This window comes from Homo sapiens, chromosome 1 (genome assembly GCF_000001405.40).
Source record: "Homo sapiens chromosome 1, GRCh38.p14 Primary Assembly".
NCBI classification, from domain to species: domain Eukaryota; kingdom Metazoa; phylum Chordata; class Mammalia; order Primates; family Hominidae; genus Homo; species Homo sapiens.
The window spans coordinates 45,763,532-45,780,584 of record NC_000001.11 but is presented as its reverse complement, the minus strand read 5'-3'; positions in this window follow the sequence as shown (position 1 = coordinate 45,780,584).

Below are 17,053 nucleotides of genomic sequence, written 5' to 3'. Positions count from 1 at the left end.
AACCCGGGAGGCGGAGGTTGCAGTGTGCTGAGATTGCACCACTGCACTCCAGCCTGGGAGACAGAGCGAGACTTCATCTCAAAAAAAAAAAAAGGACCAACTCCTTGAGGACAGGGACTATGTCTACCTTGTTTATCTCTGCGTCTTCAGTACTATTAAATTCCTCTCCTAGATTTCCTCTGCTAACACTTCCTTGGATCCTCTTAGATTAGCTCCCTCACTGGGGAAAATAAAAAATAAAGGCTATAGGTAGAATAGAGGTTCAAGAAGAACCATTTGTCATCTACAAAGCTAAATAACAAGAGCAGTAAGTTTGTTTTGTTTTGTTTTTGAGACCAAGTCTCACTCTGTTGCTCAGGCTGGAGTGCAGTGGCACAATCTCAGCTCTGCTTCCTCTGCTTCCCAGGTTCAAGTGATTCTAGTGCTTCAGCCTCCCAAGTAGCTGGGACTACAGGCATGTGCCACCACGTCTGGCTAATTTTCGTATTTTTAGTAGAGACAGGGTTTTGCCATGTTGGCCAGGCTGGTTGTGAACTCCTGGCCTCAGGTGATCCATCCGCCTCAGCCTCCCACAGTACTGGGATTACAGGTGTAAGCCACTGTGCCTGGCCTAGAACAGTAAGATTTTTTAACTGAGCCCTGAATTTACAAGGCTTATGGTGAAAGGAATCTAACATTTTCTAAGTGCCTACTAACTACTAGGCATCTGTCTTATTCAATACTCTCTCATTTACTTGGTTTCTCTCCACCGTAGGAAAGATGGTAGCCAGCAGCCCCAGGCTTACATTATCTCAGACAAGATCCTGCAATGAAAAAGGAGAGGGATTCTCTCTCGCAGTATATAGATTAAGCCAATAAAAGATTCTGATTAGCTCTCTTGGGTTACATGTGCCCTGTGGACCCATTACTGCACCAGGGAGATGAAATACTATGACAGATGTGGCTGAGTTACGTGTCCTATGACAAAGAGGGGCAAGTTATTATCCAAACAAATGGGGTAGGAAAGCTTGATGGGCAGTAAAAGAGCATTAGTTTACACAGCTATGAAGTATTAAAGCAAGTCGCGCGTGGTGGCTCACTCCTGTAATCCCAGCACTTTGGGAAGCTGAGGCAGGTGGATCACCTGAGGTCAGGAGTTCGAGACCAGCCTTGCCAACATAGTGAAACCCCATCTCTACTAAAAATACAAAAAATTAGCCAGGTATGGTGGCGGGCACCTGTAATCCCAGCTACTCTGGATGCTGAGGCAGGAGAATCACTTGAACCCGGGAGGTGGAGGTTGCAGTGAGCCGAGATCACGCCATTGCACTCCAGCTTGGGCAACAAGAGCGAAATTCCATCTCAAAAAAAAAAAAAGTATTAAAGCAATTCTGTCATTGGAGCCTCTCCTCTAATGTTATAACCATTATACTATATGGATTGCCTTTTTCTGCCCTGAGGAGATGGATTCAAAGATATTAAAGGGCCTTTTCAGCTCTCTGTTAGAGAGAGAACATGTTCTTTGCACCAAACCTTGATCACTGGGCCTGATCTGAAATAATCCAGAGAACTAGACATCCAGCACATCTGGGTGGATCTGTTCCCATGACTAGGTCTTCAGAGCTGATATTGGGACAGACAGGAAATTTCAGGCCCAGACAGAATCCTTGTCAGTCCCCAAGCAATTAGGGTTGTTTTCAAACCAAATACATTCACACCCCATTTATTTGACCTACTTCATTATCGGTCTTCCTTCAAATGACAACAGAACCTTCAAACTCACCTCTGCTCTAGCCGTTTTATCCACTTGCTTTTGAAAAAGACTTGCCGCTGAAATTCATCCATCTCTTCAAAAATAATTTGTTAAACACCTGCTATATACAAGAAACTATACTGGGTAACTTTAAAAACCTTAAGAATAAAAAGTCTGCAGGTGGTTGAATCTGCAGACGTCAGTCAGACCAGATGAAATCTTCTACTGAGTTCCTTCAGATACATCCAAACTCAAAGGTCAACAGAACAATGAACAAAGCAGGTATGACGGACCCAGCACGGTGGATCACACCTGTAATCTCAGCACTTTGGAAGACCTAGGTGGGTGGATCACTTGAGGTCAGGAATTCAAGACCAACCTGGCCAATATGGCAAAACCCTGTCTCTACTAAAAATACAAAAATTAACTGGGTGTGGTGGCACCTAGCTACTCGGGAGGCTGAGGCAGGAGAATCGCTTGAACCCGGGAGGTGGAGGTTGCAGTGAGCCAAAATTGTGCCATTGCACTCCAGCCTGAGCAACAAAAGCGTAACTCTGTCTAAAAAAAAAAAAAAAATTAGCTGGGCATGGTGGCATGTGCCTATGGTCCCAGCTACTTTGGAGGCTGAGGTGGGAGGATTGCTTGAGCCCAGGAGGTCAAGGCTGCAGTGAGCCCTCATTATGCCACTGCATTCCAGCCTGGGCAACAGTGAGACCCTGTTTCAAAAAAATTTTTTAAAGATTAAAAATGGCACATGTGTATAGGGTACGTACCATGAATGAGCTTGTAGGACTGGAAATTGCTCTGCATGAGTCAGTTAGTGAGTGGCAAGTGAATGTGAGGGCCTAGAACATTACTGTATACTACTGTAGTCTTTATAAATAATATACACTTAAGCTACACTAAATTTACTTTAAAAATAAAGTACTTGTGGCCGGGCGTGGTGGCTCACACCTGTAATCCCAGCACTTTGGGAGGCCGAGGTGGGCGGATCACAAGGTCAGGAGGTGAAGACCATCCTGGCTAACACGGTGAAACCCTGTCTCTGCTAAAAATACAAAAAATTAGCCGGGTGTGGTGGCGGGCGCCTGTAGTCCCAGCTACTCAGGAGGCTGAAGCAGGAGAATGGCATGAACCTGGGAGGCGGAGCTTGCAGTGAGCTGAGTTCGTGCTGCTGTACTCCAGCCTGGGGGACAGAGCGAGACTCCATCTCAAAATAAATAAATAAACAAACAAATAAATAAATAATAAAGTACTTGTGCTACAACATTACAATGGCCTCAGCAAACTATCACAAGGACAAAAAACCAAACACCGCATGTTCTCACTCATAGGTGAGAATTGAACAATGAGAACACTTGGACACAGGTTGGGGAACATCACACACCGGGGCCTGTTGTGGGGTGGGGGGAGGGGGGAGGGATAGCATTAGGAGATATACCTAATGTAAATGACGAGTTTGTGGGTGCAGCACACCAACATGGGACATGTATACATATGTAACAAACCTGCACTTTGTGCACATGTACCCTAAAACTTAAAGTATAATAAAAAAATTCTGGATTAAAAAAAAAATTACAATGGCCTACAATGTCATTAGGCAATAGACATTTTTCAGCTCCTTTATAATCTTACGGGACCACCATCATGCATATGGTATGTTTATGTGTCACATGACTGTAATTAATTAAGGCAAGAGCAATCATTAGATGCTAAAACCACTGGGTGAAAGGCTTTGAGGGAACAGAGTATCTGCACTGTGCCAAAGCATCACCCAGAGATTATTTTGTTGCTACTTGCAAAGAGAAAAACAAATCTTTGGGCGGGCATGATGCCTCACGCCAATAATGCCAGCATTTTGGGAGACTGAGGCAGGCGGATCACTTGAGACCAGAAGTTTGAGACCAGCCAGGTCAACATGGTGAAACCCCATCTCTACTAAAAATACAAAAATGGTCAGGCCGGGTGTGGTGGCTCACGCCTGTAATCCCAACACTTTGGGAGGCCAAGGTGGGTGGATCACCTGAAGTCAGGAGTTCAAGACCAGCCTGGCCAACATGGTGAAACCCATCTCTATTGAATATACAAAAAATTAGCCAGGCGTGGTGTGGGCGCCTATAATCCCAGCTACTCAGGAGGCTGAGGCAGGAGAATCACTTGAACCTGGGAGACAGAGGTTGTAGTGAGCGGACATTGCACCATTACACTCCAGCCTGGGCAACAAGAGTGAAACTCTGTCTCAAAAAAAAAAAAAAAACAAACAGCTGGGGCTCATGACTGTAATCCCAGCACTTTGGGAGGCCGAGGCGGGTGGATCACCTGAGGTCGGGAGTTTGAGACCAGCCTTACCAACATGGAGAAAACACGTCTCTACTAAAAATAGAAAATTAGCTGGGCGTGGTGGCGCATGCCTGTAATCCCAGCTACTCGGGAGGCTGAGGCAGGAGAATTGCTTGAACCTGGGAGGCAGAGGTTGCAGTGAGCTGAGATTGCACCATTGCACTCCAGCCTGGGCAACAAGAGCGAAACTCAGTCTCAAAAAAAGAAAAACCTGAAAAAATAAACCACAAATCTTTACAATTTAGAGATCTGGGGTTTGCTATTGAAATCAAGTCATCCAATTTAGCATTGCTGTTCATGAAAAACATAACATTATGTGCCTCATGATATGATACAGTATGAAGTACACAGCAAAACCTATTAAACATTCCTGCCTAAATGCTTAATTGAATTTATTTATTTAGTTATTTTAGACAGGGTCTTGCTGTCACCCAGGCTTGAGTGCAGTGACATCATAGCTCACTGTGATGTCAAACTCCTGGCCCCAAGCCATCTTCCAGCTTTGGCCTCCCAAAGAGCTGGGATTACTGGCGAGAGCTACTGTACACCGTCTGTTAATTGAATGTAATAAAACTTTTAGACCAAACTTCTAATTTACAGGAAACACAAAGAACAGGTAAATTATATCACTAAAGAACAAATAAGACAAATTGAGAATATAGGACATTCAGAAGATAACTGATGTAATCTCTCCTCAAAGAACTGACGTCATGAGAGAAAATAAAAGGTAGAAGAACTGTTCTAGATTAAAATACACTAATGTGGCCAGGCAAGGTGGCTTATACCTGTAACCCCAGCACTTTGGGAGGCCGAGGTGGACAGATCACTTGAAGTCAGGAGTTCGAGACCAGCCTGACAAACAAGGCAAAATCCCATGTTGGGACTCAGCAGCTGAGGCAGGAGAATCGCTTGAGCCCTGCAGAGGTTGCAGTGCGCCAAGATCGTGCCACTGCACTCCAGCCTGGGCGACAAAGGAGACTATGTCTCAAAAAAAAAAAAAAAAAAAAAAAAGGCCGGGCATGGTGGCTCATGCCTCTAATCCCAGAACTTTGGGAGGCCGAGGCTGGTGGATCACTTGAGGCCAGGAGTTCAAGGCCAGCCTGGCCATCACGGTGAAACCCTGTCTCCACTAAAAATACAAAAATTAGCCAGGCATGGCGGCATGGGCCTGTAATCCCAGCTACCCAGGAGGCCGAGGCACGAGAATTGTTTCAGCCTGTGGGGCAGAGGTTGCAGTGAGCGGAGATTACACCACAGCACTCCAGTCTGGATGATAGAGTGAGACTCCGCATAAAAAAACAAAAACAAAAACAAAAACACTAATGAGGTAAAACTAAACCCAATGGATGAACTTTAATGGGATATTGGTTTGACAAAACAAAAACAGCTATAAGAGACATAGTTGTAATAACTTTCTGACATGAGCATAACATCAGTGTAATGCTGGTCTCATAGATGGAGTTGGGATGTATGTCTTCTTTAACTTTTTGGAATACTTTGTGTGTTGTTTGTGAATTAGTATTATTTCTTCCTTAAATGTTTGGTAGAATTAATCAGTGAAGACATTTTGGACGGGCGTTTCCTTCATGGGAGGGTTTTTAACCAAATGTTGGTTTTCTTTAATAGATACATGACTATCCAGGCTATATGTTTCTTATTAAGTGAGTCTTGGTAGTTTATGTATTTCAAAAGATGTATGCATTTCATCAAAGTTGGTGAATTTTTTGGCATAAAGTTCTTCATGCTATTCCCTTATTACGGTTGTAATATCTATGGGACATTGTAGAGATGTCTCCTCTCTCTCTCTCTCTTTTTTTTTTTTTTTTGCTTTTTGAGACAGAGTCTCCCTCTGTTACCCAGGCTGGAGCATAGTAGTGCAATCATAGCTCACTGTAGGCTTGACCCTTCTGGGCTCAAGCGATCCCCCTCCATTAGCCTCCCAAATAGCTGGGACCACAGGCAGGAGCCACCACGTCTGGCTAATTTTTAGAAAAAATTTTCATAGAGACAAGGTCTCCGTATATTGCCCAGGCTGGTCTCAAACTTCTTGGACTCCCAAAGTGTTGGGATTATAGGCGTGAGCCACTGCATGCCTGGCCCCTTTTCCTAATTTCTTAAGGCAGAAGCTTAGGTCATTGATTTGGGACATTTTTTTTTTCTTTTTCTTTTTTTTTTTTTTTTGAGACAGAGTCTCGCTCTGTCACCCAGTCTGGAGTGCAGTGGCACAATCTCAGCTCACTGCAAGCTCCACCTCCTGGGTTCATGCCATTCTCCTGCCTCAGCCTCCCGAGTAGCTGGGACTACAGGTGCCCGCCACCACGCACAGCTAATTTTGTTTTTGTATTTTTTGTAGAGATGGGGTTTCACCATGTTAGCCAGGATGGTCTTGACTCCTGATCTCGTGATCCGCCCGCCTCGGCCTCCCAAAGTGCTGGGATTACATGCATGAGCCCCCACACCCAGCCACATTTTCTTTTTTTCTAACATACACATTTAATGCTACAAACTTCCCTATGGACTGCCTTAGCTATATCTCACACATGTCAATATGTTGTTTTCATTTTGATTAAGGCCAAATTATTTTCCAATTTATCTCTCTATTTTTTTTTTTTAAGATAGGGTCTTGCTCTGTCACCTAGGCTGCAGTGCAGTGTCACTATCACAGCTCACTGCAGCCTTGAACTCCTGGTCTCAAGCGATCCTCTCACCTCAGCCTCTGGAGTAACTGGGACTGTAGGTGTGCACCACCATGCCCAGCTCATTTATTTATATTTATATTTATATTTTTTTAAAAATAAGAAAATTTATAATGGTGGGGTGGGGCGGGGGTCTCGCTATGTTGCCCAGACTGGTCTCAAACTCCTGGGCTCAAGTGATCCTCCTGCCTTGGCCTCCCAAAATGTTAAGACTATAGGCATGAGCCACCTCTTCTGAACTAATTTCCTTTTTGAGTTCCTCTTTGAATCAGAATTTTTTGTTTTTTTTTTTTTTGTTCTGTTTCTTAGAGACAAGCTCTCTTTCTCTTACCCAGGCTGGAGTGCATTGGCAGGATCTTAGCTCACTGTACCCTTGAATTCTGGACTCAAGTGATCCTCCTGCCTCACGCTCCGAAGTACCTAGGACTACAGGTGCACGCCACCATGCATGGCTTTTTTTTTTTTTTTAAATGGAGTAAGGGGTCTTGCTACATTTCTCAGGCTAGTCTTGAACTCCTGGCCTTAAGCGATACTCCCACTTTGGCCTCCCAAAGTGCTCGAATTACAAGCATAAGACACCACACCCGGCTTCATGTGTCACTTAGAAGCATCTTACTTAGTTAACAAATAGTAGGGGATTTTCCAGACACTCTTCTGCTCTCACACCACAACAATCATCAACACAGAAGATTTCTGTGACCAAATGTGTGAGGGAGAATTTCCCCCCACCACCAAGCAAGCAATCAATTCTTCAGTAGCCACCAACTGGGTGTCCTCCAATTCATTTCTGACACTATCTACTTGGAGTCCCCAAAACTGCTTCCTGCTTCAGATCCTAGTCACAAGTTCGGGCCTCTGGAACTTCTGACTGACTGGCTTCAAGTTAGGGTTCCCACATCTCCCTGTTTGGGTTCAATTAATTTGCTAAAGCATCTCACAGGACTCAGGGAAACACTTGTGTTTACTGGTTTATTATAAAGGATATTATAAAGGAAGAGATGCATAGGGTGAGGTATGGTGGAAGGGGCACAGAACTTCCATGCCCTCCCTGGGCATGCCACTGCCCAGGAGCCTCCACGTGTTCAGCTATTCAAAAGCTCTCTGAACTCTGTCCTTTGGGTTTTTATGGAGGCTTCATTACATATGTGTGGTTGACAACCATGTAGAAATGTGATTGGACAAAAAGAGTATAATCTAAACCCAGCAAGGCCTGTCTGTTTAGATTCTTCTTGGCCTCCCTGTGAAGCATTCCTTCCTCCAGAGTATGGGGCAGGACCCTTTTCGAAATGAGAGTCTTAAGACCCACAATCAGGTTATAGTCCTGCCTTGGGCAGGTGAAAAGAGGAGAGAGGAGAAGGTCAGAGAGAGAGATTCTGCAAACTGTTATAAGGGCTATGGAAGTTAATAGCCAGGATCTATGGACGAAAACCTGTATATTATTCAGCTGGGTACTAAAAAAATACGTATATGTTTTCATCCATATATAAATTTATTTGAATGTCACAATTTTTAATTTAATGTTATTTGTGTGGCCAGGCATGGTAGCTCATACCTATAATCCCAGCACTTGGGAAGCCCAAGGTGGATGGATCACTTGAGGCCCGGAGTTCAAGACCAGTCTGGCCAACATGGCAAAACCCCGTCTCTACTAAAAATACAAAAATTAGCCAGGCATGGTGGCATGCGCCTGTAATCTCAGCTACTTGAGAACTTGAAGCACAAAAATCACCTGAACCTGGCAGACAGAGGTTGTAGTGAGCTGTATTTGTGATCAGAGAACACATTTTTTATATGAATCCTTTTACATTTATTGTGACTTGTTTAAAAGCCCAGAATAATATAATCTATCTAAGTGAATATTGTATCTATACTAGAAAATAGTATCTATTCCTGATATTGGTTATAGAGTTCTATAAATGTCAGTTAGGTCAAGTGGTTGATAATGTTCAAGGCTTCTGCAGGATACACATGCCATCAAGGTCGGAGACAATGAGAACTGACACAGATTTCAGTCCATCTTCGTGGGTTCCAACTGTGCCTGTGGCCATTATTTTTCCAGCCTTTTTACTCTTTGTTTCATTTTGGATAGTTTCTATTGCTATGTCTTCAGGTTAACTGAACTGCAGTATTTAATCTTCTGTAAATCTCATTCAATATATTTTTAATTTATTTTTTTGCCTCTAGAAGTTTTATTTGGGATTTACAAAATATCTTCCAGGTTTCTCTTTAGCATGCACATGCTTCCTTCTATTTTCTTTCTTCTTTTTTTTTTTTTTTCAAGAGACAGAGTCTTGCTCTGTTGCCCAGGCTGGAGTGCAGTGGGGCAATCTCTACTTACCAAAATCTCTGCCTCCTGGGTTCAAATGATTCTCCTGCCTCAGCCTCCCAAGTAGCTGGGATTACAGTTGTTCACCACCACATCTGGCTAAGTTTTGTATTTTCAGTAGAGACGGGGTTTCGCCATGTTGCCCAGGCTGGTCTTGAACCCCTGACCCCAGGTGACCCGCCCATCTCAGCCTCCCAAAGTGCTGGGATTACAGGCATGAGCCACCGTGCCCGGCCTACTTTCTTAAACATATGAAATGCAGTTGGAACAAATTATTTTAATGTCCTTGTCTTAATTCTATCACTCGTTTCATTTCTGGATCTGTTGTCTACTGATGGATGTTACTCCTCATTATAGGTTATGTTCTTTGCATGTCTGATTGTTTTTGATATTAGATGCCTTACATTGTCGATTGTTAGGTGCTAGATATTTTTATATTCCTATAAATATTCTTGAGCTTTGTTCCAGGAAACAGTTTGATCCTCTAAGCCTTGCTTTTAAGCTCTGTTCAATGGAATCAGTGCAGCAGTTAGTCTATGGCTAATTTTGCTACACTACTAAAGTACTACTGAAGAGTACTGAGCATAGTACTCTACCTGATGACCTACTCTGCCTCTTGGGAACGTTAACTATTTCTGGCCTATATGAAGATAGGATTTTTCCCATCTGCTTTCCCAAGATCTGGATAGTTTTTTCACACCCTTGTACTGATCGGTATCCAACAGAACACAGGAGGGGAACCTTCTGCAGATCTCACAGTGCTCCCTCTGTCCAGCTCTCTCTTCTGTGTGCTGCTCTCTCCTCTCTGGTACTTTGCCCTAAAAATTTGATCCACCTTGGCCTTCTCAAATTCTCAGCTCTCTCTCCTCAACTCAGGGAGAATGCTGAACTCTGTTTTTCTTGCTCCTTGAACTGTGGCCAGGAAATTCTCTCCATGCAGTAAGCTGGGGCAACTCTAGGGCTCACCTCATTGGTTTCCCTTATGTCAGGGATCACCCTCTTGTGCTCTCTGTTTCCCAGCATTTGAAAAATGTTTCCTCAAATATTTTGTCCAGTTTTTTAGACGTTTTATGTAAGAGTACCGGTAAATTGTGGTTGGAAGTGAAGGTCTGTGGGGGAATACTTCAAGATTTTGTAAATATCTGTTCTCCAATATATTTTTATTTTTATTTATTTATTTATTTATTTATTTATTTATTTATTTATTTTTTGAGACAGAGTCTGTCTCTATTGCCCAGGCTGGAGTGCAGTGGTGCAATCTTGGCTCACAGCAACCTCCCCTAGGTTCAAAAGATTCTCCTGCCTAAGCCTCCTGAGTATCTGGGATTAACAGGCGCGTGCCACTACGCCTGGCTAATTTTTGTATTTTTAGCAGAGACGGGGTTTCACCATGTTGGCCAGACTGGTCTCGAACCCCTGACCTCAGGTGATCTGCCCGCCTCAGCCTCTCAAATTGCTGGGATTACAGGCATGAGCCACCATGCCTGGCCCTATTTTTATGCAATGGCTTTAAGCATCCATTGATAACTCTTATTTATATCATTTATTGGTATGATGGTTGAAAAATAGTGATTTTTTTTCTATTATTTCTTCTTCATTTGTTAGTTGGCCTGTTACCATGAAAAATAGCTTTTCCTTTTTCCTCTGTTATTTATGTATTTAAGTCTTTATAGTTAGTGTCGGGGACAGACTCTAGGGTCGTCTCCATGATCCCTGCCTTATCTCAGTGTTCACTGCCTTATGTGGTTCCCTCCCTTTGAGTGTGGGTGGGACCTCTGACTTTCTTCCAACCAATAGAACATGGCAAAGGTGACTGAATGTATGTGGTCTTCTGTATGTGATTATATTACATAAAATTCTAAATATCTTGCTAGGAGATTCTATCTCTCCTTTGCTGGCCTGGAAGAAGCAAGATGCCATGTTATGTGCTGCCATAGGGCCACGTGGCAGAGCTGAGGGCAGCCTCCTGCTGACAGCCAGCAAGAAACAGGAGCCCTCAATCCCACAGCCTGCAAGGAACTCAATGCTGCCAACAACCACAAGTGCTTGAAAGTGAATCTGTATCCAGTCGTGCCTCAGATGAGCTAGCAGCCCTGGCAGACAAGCTGTTTATAGCTTTGTGAGACCCTGAAGCAGAGGACCAAGTTAAGGCATGCTAGGACTCCTGACTCACTGAGATAGTAAAGATGTGTTGTTTTAAACCATTACATTTGTGGTATTATTGTTACATAGCAGTAGATAGCTAATAGCAGTTAGTTACTCACATCTTTTAGTATCAGGACTGAAAGGATTCATGGATCTTTTTCCAAGTTATCTTTTTAAACTATAATATCCATTAAAGTCAAGTATAGAAAGGAACTGGATTTAGAATGATATCTTCATAGTACTGTTTCACAAGATATTAAGGCAACTTTTTTTTTTTTTTTTTTTTTTTTGAGACAGGGTCTCACTGTGTTACCAAGGCTGGAGTGCAAGGGCTCAAACGTGGCTCACTGCAGCCTCTACCTCCTCAGCCCAAGTGATCCAAGGGCTCAAACGTGGCTCACTGCAGCCTCTATCTCCCTGGCCCAAGTGATCTGCCCACCTCAGCCTCTCAAGTAGCTAGGACCACAGGTGCATGAGCCACCACGCCAGGCTAATTTTTGTATTTTTTGTAGAGGCAGGGTTTCACTATGTTGACCAGGCTGGTCTCTAACTCCCGAACTCAAGCAGTCTACCATCTCAGCTTACTGAAGTGCTGGGAAGAGAAATATGAACCACCACGCCCAGCCCCATATTTTACTTTATTATTGTTATTATTATTATTATTATTTTCAGACGAAGTCTCACTCTGTTGCCCACACTGGAGTGCAGTGGCAGGATATCGGCTCACTGCAAACTCTGCCTTCCAGGTTCAAGCAACTCTTTTGCCTCAGCCTCATGAGTAGCTGGGATTACAGGTGTACGCCACCACGCCCAGGTAATTTTTATATTTTTAGTAGAGACAGCGTTTTGCCATGTTAGCCAGGCTGGTCTCAACTCCTGAGCTCAAGTGATCCATCTGCCTCAGCCTCCCAAAGTGATGGGATTATAGGCGTGAGCCACTGTACCCAGCCTGAGCCACTGCATCCAGTCCCCATATTTTAATGTTATAGTTTATTTATAATTTATACAAAAATAAATATACATGGCTGGGCGTGGTGGCTCACACCTACAATTCCAACACTTGGGGAGGCCAAGGAGGGCAGATCATTTGAGGTCAGGAATTCAAGACCAGCCTGGCCAACATGGCGAAAACCTATCTCTACTAAAAATACAAAAAAAAGTGAGCAGAACGTGGTGGCATGCGCCTGTAATCCCAGATACTTGGGAGGCTGAGGCATGAGAATCACTTGAACCCAGGAGGTAGAGATTGCAGTGAGCCGAGATCGAGCCACTGTACTCCAGCCTGGGTAACAGAGTGAGATCTTGTCTCAAAAAACAAACAAACAAACAAAAATAAATATACATATATTTGGAAGTCACTTAATGTATTTTGCTGGTAGAGTATATAATCAAACAGGCTGGCATGTACAGTTTTCTATGTATACTTTTTTTTGCCCAATTATCAAAAGCCTCCAAGTTTTTTACTCTATTTAGAACAGTTGTTCTCATCTCTAGCTGTATATTAGAAACACATGAGGAGATATATATATATATATATATTTTTTTTTTTTTTTTTTTTTGAGACAGAGTCTTGCTCTGTCGCTCAGGCTGGAGTGCAGTGGCTCAATCTTAGCTCACTGCAACCTCTGCCTCCTGGGTTCAAGCAATTCTTCTGCCTCAGCCTCCGGAGTAGCTGGGACAATAGGAATGTGCCACCATGCCTGGCTAATTTTTGTATATTTAATAGAGATGGGGTTTCACCATATTGGCCAGGCTGGTCTCGAACTCCTGACCTCATGATCTGTCTGCCTCGGCCTCCCAAACTGCTGGAATTACAGGTATGAGCCACCACACCCATCCAAGGATTTTATTTTTGTGTCAGTGAGAAGCGTGTGCCCTACTGAGAAGCGTGTGCCCTACCCTAAACGAATTTAGTCAGTATCTCTGGGGGTCAGGCATGGTATTGTTTCTATAACTCCTCAGGTGATTTCTAATGGGTGGCCAGGGTTGAGAACTGACTTTGAAATAGACAATTATCTTTGGAAAGTACTCGGTGAAAAAAAGACTCAGTTGGAAAGACATCCTGTTTGGGGTGTGATTCACTCAACCGAACTCCTGGAAGCCCTGAAACTGACCCCTAAAGGAAATATAATCCAGATCTCAAGATGTCCAGCCAGCATTCACTTCTCTCCTCTTTACTAAAATAAAGCTGTATTAAGTAAAGATAAAAACCAACACATGTTTTAGATGCAAAATGGCTTTTTTTTTTTTTTTTTTTTTGAGATGAAGTCTCGCTCCGTTGCCCAGGCTGGAGCGCCCTGGCGTGATCTCAGCTCACCACAACTTCCACCTCCCGGCTTCAAGCAATTCTCCTGCCTCAGCCTCCCAAATAGCTGGGATTACAGGTACCCGCCTACTTGAGAGGCCAAGGCAGGAGAATCACTTGAACCTGGGAGGCAGAGGTTGTGGTGAGCCAAAATCGTGCCACTGTACTCTAGCCTGGGCAACAGAAAGAGACTTCGTCTCAGAATAAAATAAAATAAAATAGAATAAAATAAGATAAAATAAAATTAACAAAAATTAGCCTGGTGCAGATGCATGTGCTTGGGAGGCTGAGGCGGGAGGCTCCCTTGAGCCTAGAAGTTTGAGGATATGTGAGCTATGATCATGCTACTACTCTCCAGCCTGGGCGAGAGAGTGAGGCCTTGTCTCTAAACAAAACCAAACAACCCAACTAAGCAGTAGTTACTCCATATAATTTGCTGACTCTCATTGCTTTCCTTTACTGTCTTCCTAAAGGAATGACTGAATTGTTTTCTATCTCCCCTGCATTTCAGGGTTATACATTTCTTTGGCTAACATCAGAATTTCTGCTTTGTTTTTGCCTCTGGTAATTCTACAGAAATTTTTTTGTCCAAAGCTAAAAGTAGGCTTTTTATTTTTAATTTAATTTTATTTTTTTTGAGATAGCATCTCGCTCTGTCACCCAGGCTGGAGTGCAGTGGCCCAATCTTGGCTCACTGCAACCTCCACCCCCCAGGTTGAAGTGATTCTCGTGCCTCAGCCTCGAGAGTAGCTGGGACTGCAGGTGCGCACCACCACACCCAGCTAATTTGTGTGTGTGTGTGTGTGTGTGTGCGCGCGCGTGCATGTATTTTTAGTGGAGACGGGGTTTTATCATGTTTGCCAGGCTGGTTTCGAAATCCTGACCTCAGATGATCTGCCTGGCTAAGCCTCCAAAAGTGCTGGGATTACAGGCGTGAGCCACCATGCCCAGCCAAAGCAGGTTTTTAAATTAAATTGCCTTTCTTTCTTAACTCTCATTTCCAGCCCAAACTATTATTTTTAAGAAGAAATAAAAAGCATGGCCGGGCATGGTGGCTCATGCCTGTAATCCCAGCACTTTGGGAGGCCAAGGCAGGTGGATCATTTGAGGTAAAGAGTTTGAGACCAGTCTGGGCAACATGGCAAAACCCTGTCTCTACTAAATATAAAAAAATTAGCTAGGCATGGTGGCGCATGCCTGTAATCCCAGGTACTTGGGAAACTAAGGCAGGAGAATTGCTTGAACCCAGGAGACAGAGGTTGCAATGAGCCAAGATCATGCCACTGCACTCCAGCCTGGGCGACAGAGTGAGACTCTGTCTCACAACAAACCCGGGAGGGAGGTGGGGGGCAGCCCCCGCCCGGCCAGCCGCCCCGTCCGGGAGGGAGGTGGGGGGCGCCTCTGCCCGGCCGCCCCGTCTGGGAAGTGAGGAGCCCCTCTGCCTGGCCGCCACCCCATCTGGGAGGTGTACCCAACAGCTCATTGAGAACGGGCCATGATGACGATGGCGGTTTTGTCGAATAGAAAAGGGGGAAATGTGGGGAAAAGAAAGAGAGATCAGATTGTTACTGTGTCTGTGTAGAAAGAAGTAGACATGGGAGACTCCATTTTGTTCTGTACTAAGAAAAATTCTTCTGCCTTGGGATGCTGTTAATCTATAACCTTACCCCCAACCCCGTGCTCTCTGAAACACGTGCTGTGTCCACTCAGGGTTAAATGGATTAAGGGCGGTGCAAGATGTGCTTTGTTAAACAGATGCTTGAAGGCAGCATGCTCCTTAAAAGTCATCACCACTCCCTAATCTCAAGTACCCAGGGACACAAACACTGCGGAAGGCTGCAGGGTCCTCTGCCTAGGAAAACCAGAGACCCTTGTTCACATGTTTATCTGCTGGCCTTCCCTCCACTATTGTCCTATGACCCTGCCAAATCCCCCTCTCCGAGAAACACCCAAGAATGATCAATAAATACTAAAAAAAAAAAAAAAACAGAAAAAAAAAAAAACAAAACAAGAAGAAATACCCAGGCATGGTGGCTCACGCCTGTAATCCCAGCACTTTGGGAGACCAAGGCAGGCACATCACTTGAGGTGGGGAGTTTGAGACCAGCCTGGCCAACACGGTAAATCCCTGTCTCTGCTAAAAATACCAAAAATTAGCCTGGCCTGGTGGCAGGCACCTGTAATCCCAGCTACTCAAGAGGCTGAGACAGGAGAATTGCTTGAACTCAGGAGGCAGAAGTTGCAGTAAGCCAAGATTGCGCCATTGCACTCCAGCCTGGACAACAAGAGCAAAACTCCATCCCAAAAAAAAAAAGAAAAGAAATTTAAAAAAAATGAGTTTCTGATTATTATATTCTGGCTATTTCTTTGTGAAACAGATTGCTTAATTGGAAAGTGTCCATTCTCTAGTCTTTAACATAATCTTCCAAGGAAAATAGCTCTATTATCCAAACTGTGTTAACAACTCAGACTCTTCTTTTTTTTTTTTTTTGATATGGAGTCTCGTTCTGTTGCCCAGGCTGGAGTGCAGTGGGGCGATCTTGGCTCACTGCAAGCTCCACCTCATAGGTTCAAGCGATTCTCCTGCCTCAGCCTCCCAAGTAGCTGGGACTACAGGTGCCCACCACCATACCCAGCTAATTTTTGGTATTTTTAGTAGAGACGGGGTTTCACCGTGTTAGCCAGGATGGTCTCCATCTCCTGACCTCGTGATCCGCCCGCCTTGGCCTTCCAAAGTGCTGGGATTACAGGCGTGAGCCACCACACCCGGCCCAGATTCTTCTTAAGATGATATATGTTCTAACACTGTAGCTGTTAACCCCCTCTTATGCCCAAACTATGGTCTCTAAAAACCATTTTCTTTCTTTCTTTTTTTTGAGATGGAGTCTCAATCTGTCGCCCAGGCTGGAGTGCAGTGGCACAATCTTGGCTCACTGCAACCTCCACCTCCCGGGTTCAAGCAATCCTCCCACCTCAGCCTCCCAAGTAGCTGGGATTACAAGAATGCGCCATCACACCTGGCTACTTTTTGTATCTAAATACCGTTTTTTTTTTTTGTTTTTTTTTTTTGAGACAGAGTCTGTCTCCCAGGCTGGAGTGCAGTGGTGTGATCTCAACTCACTGCAACCTCCACCTCCTGGGTTGAAATGATTCTCCTGTTTCAGCCTCCTGAGTAGCTGAGATTACAGGCACCTGCCACCACATCCAGCTAATTTTTGTATTTTTAGTAGAGATGGGTTTTCGCCATGTTGGCCAGGCTGGTCTTGAACTCCTGACTTCAGTTTATCTGCCCACCTCGGCCTCCCAAAGTGCTGAGATTACAGGTGTGAGTCACCAGGCCTGGCCCTAAATACCGTTTTTTTTTTTTTAAGATGAAGTCTCGCTCTTGTCGCCCAGGCTGGAGTGCAATGGCACATCCTTGGCTCACTGCAACCTCTGCCTCCTGGGTTCTAGCGATTCTCCTGCCTCAGCCTCCTGAGCAGCTGGGATTACAGGCACCTGCCACACGC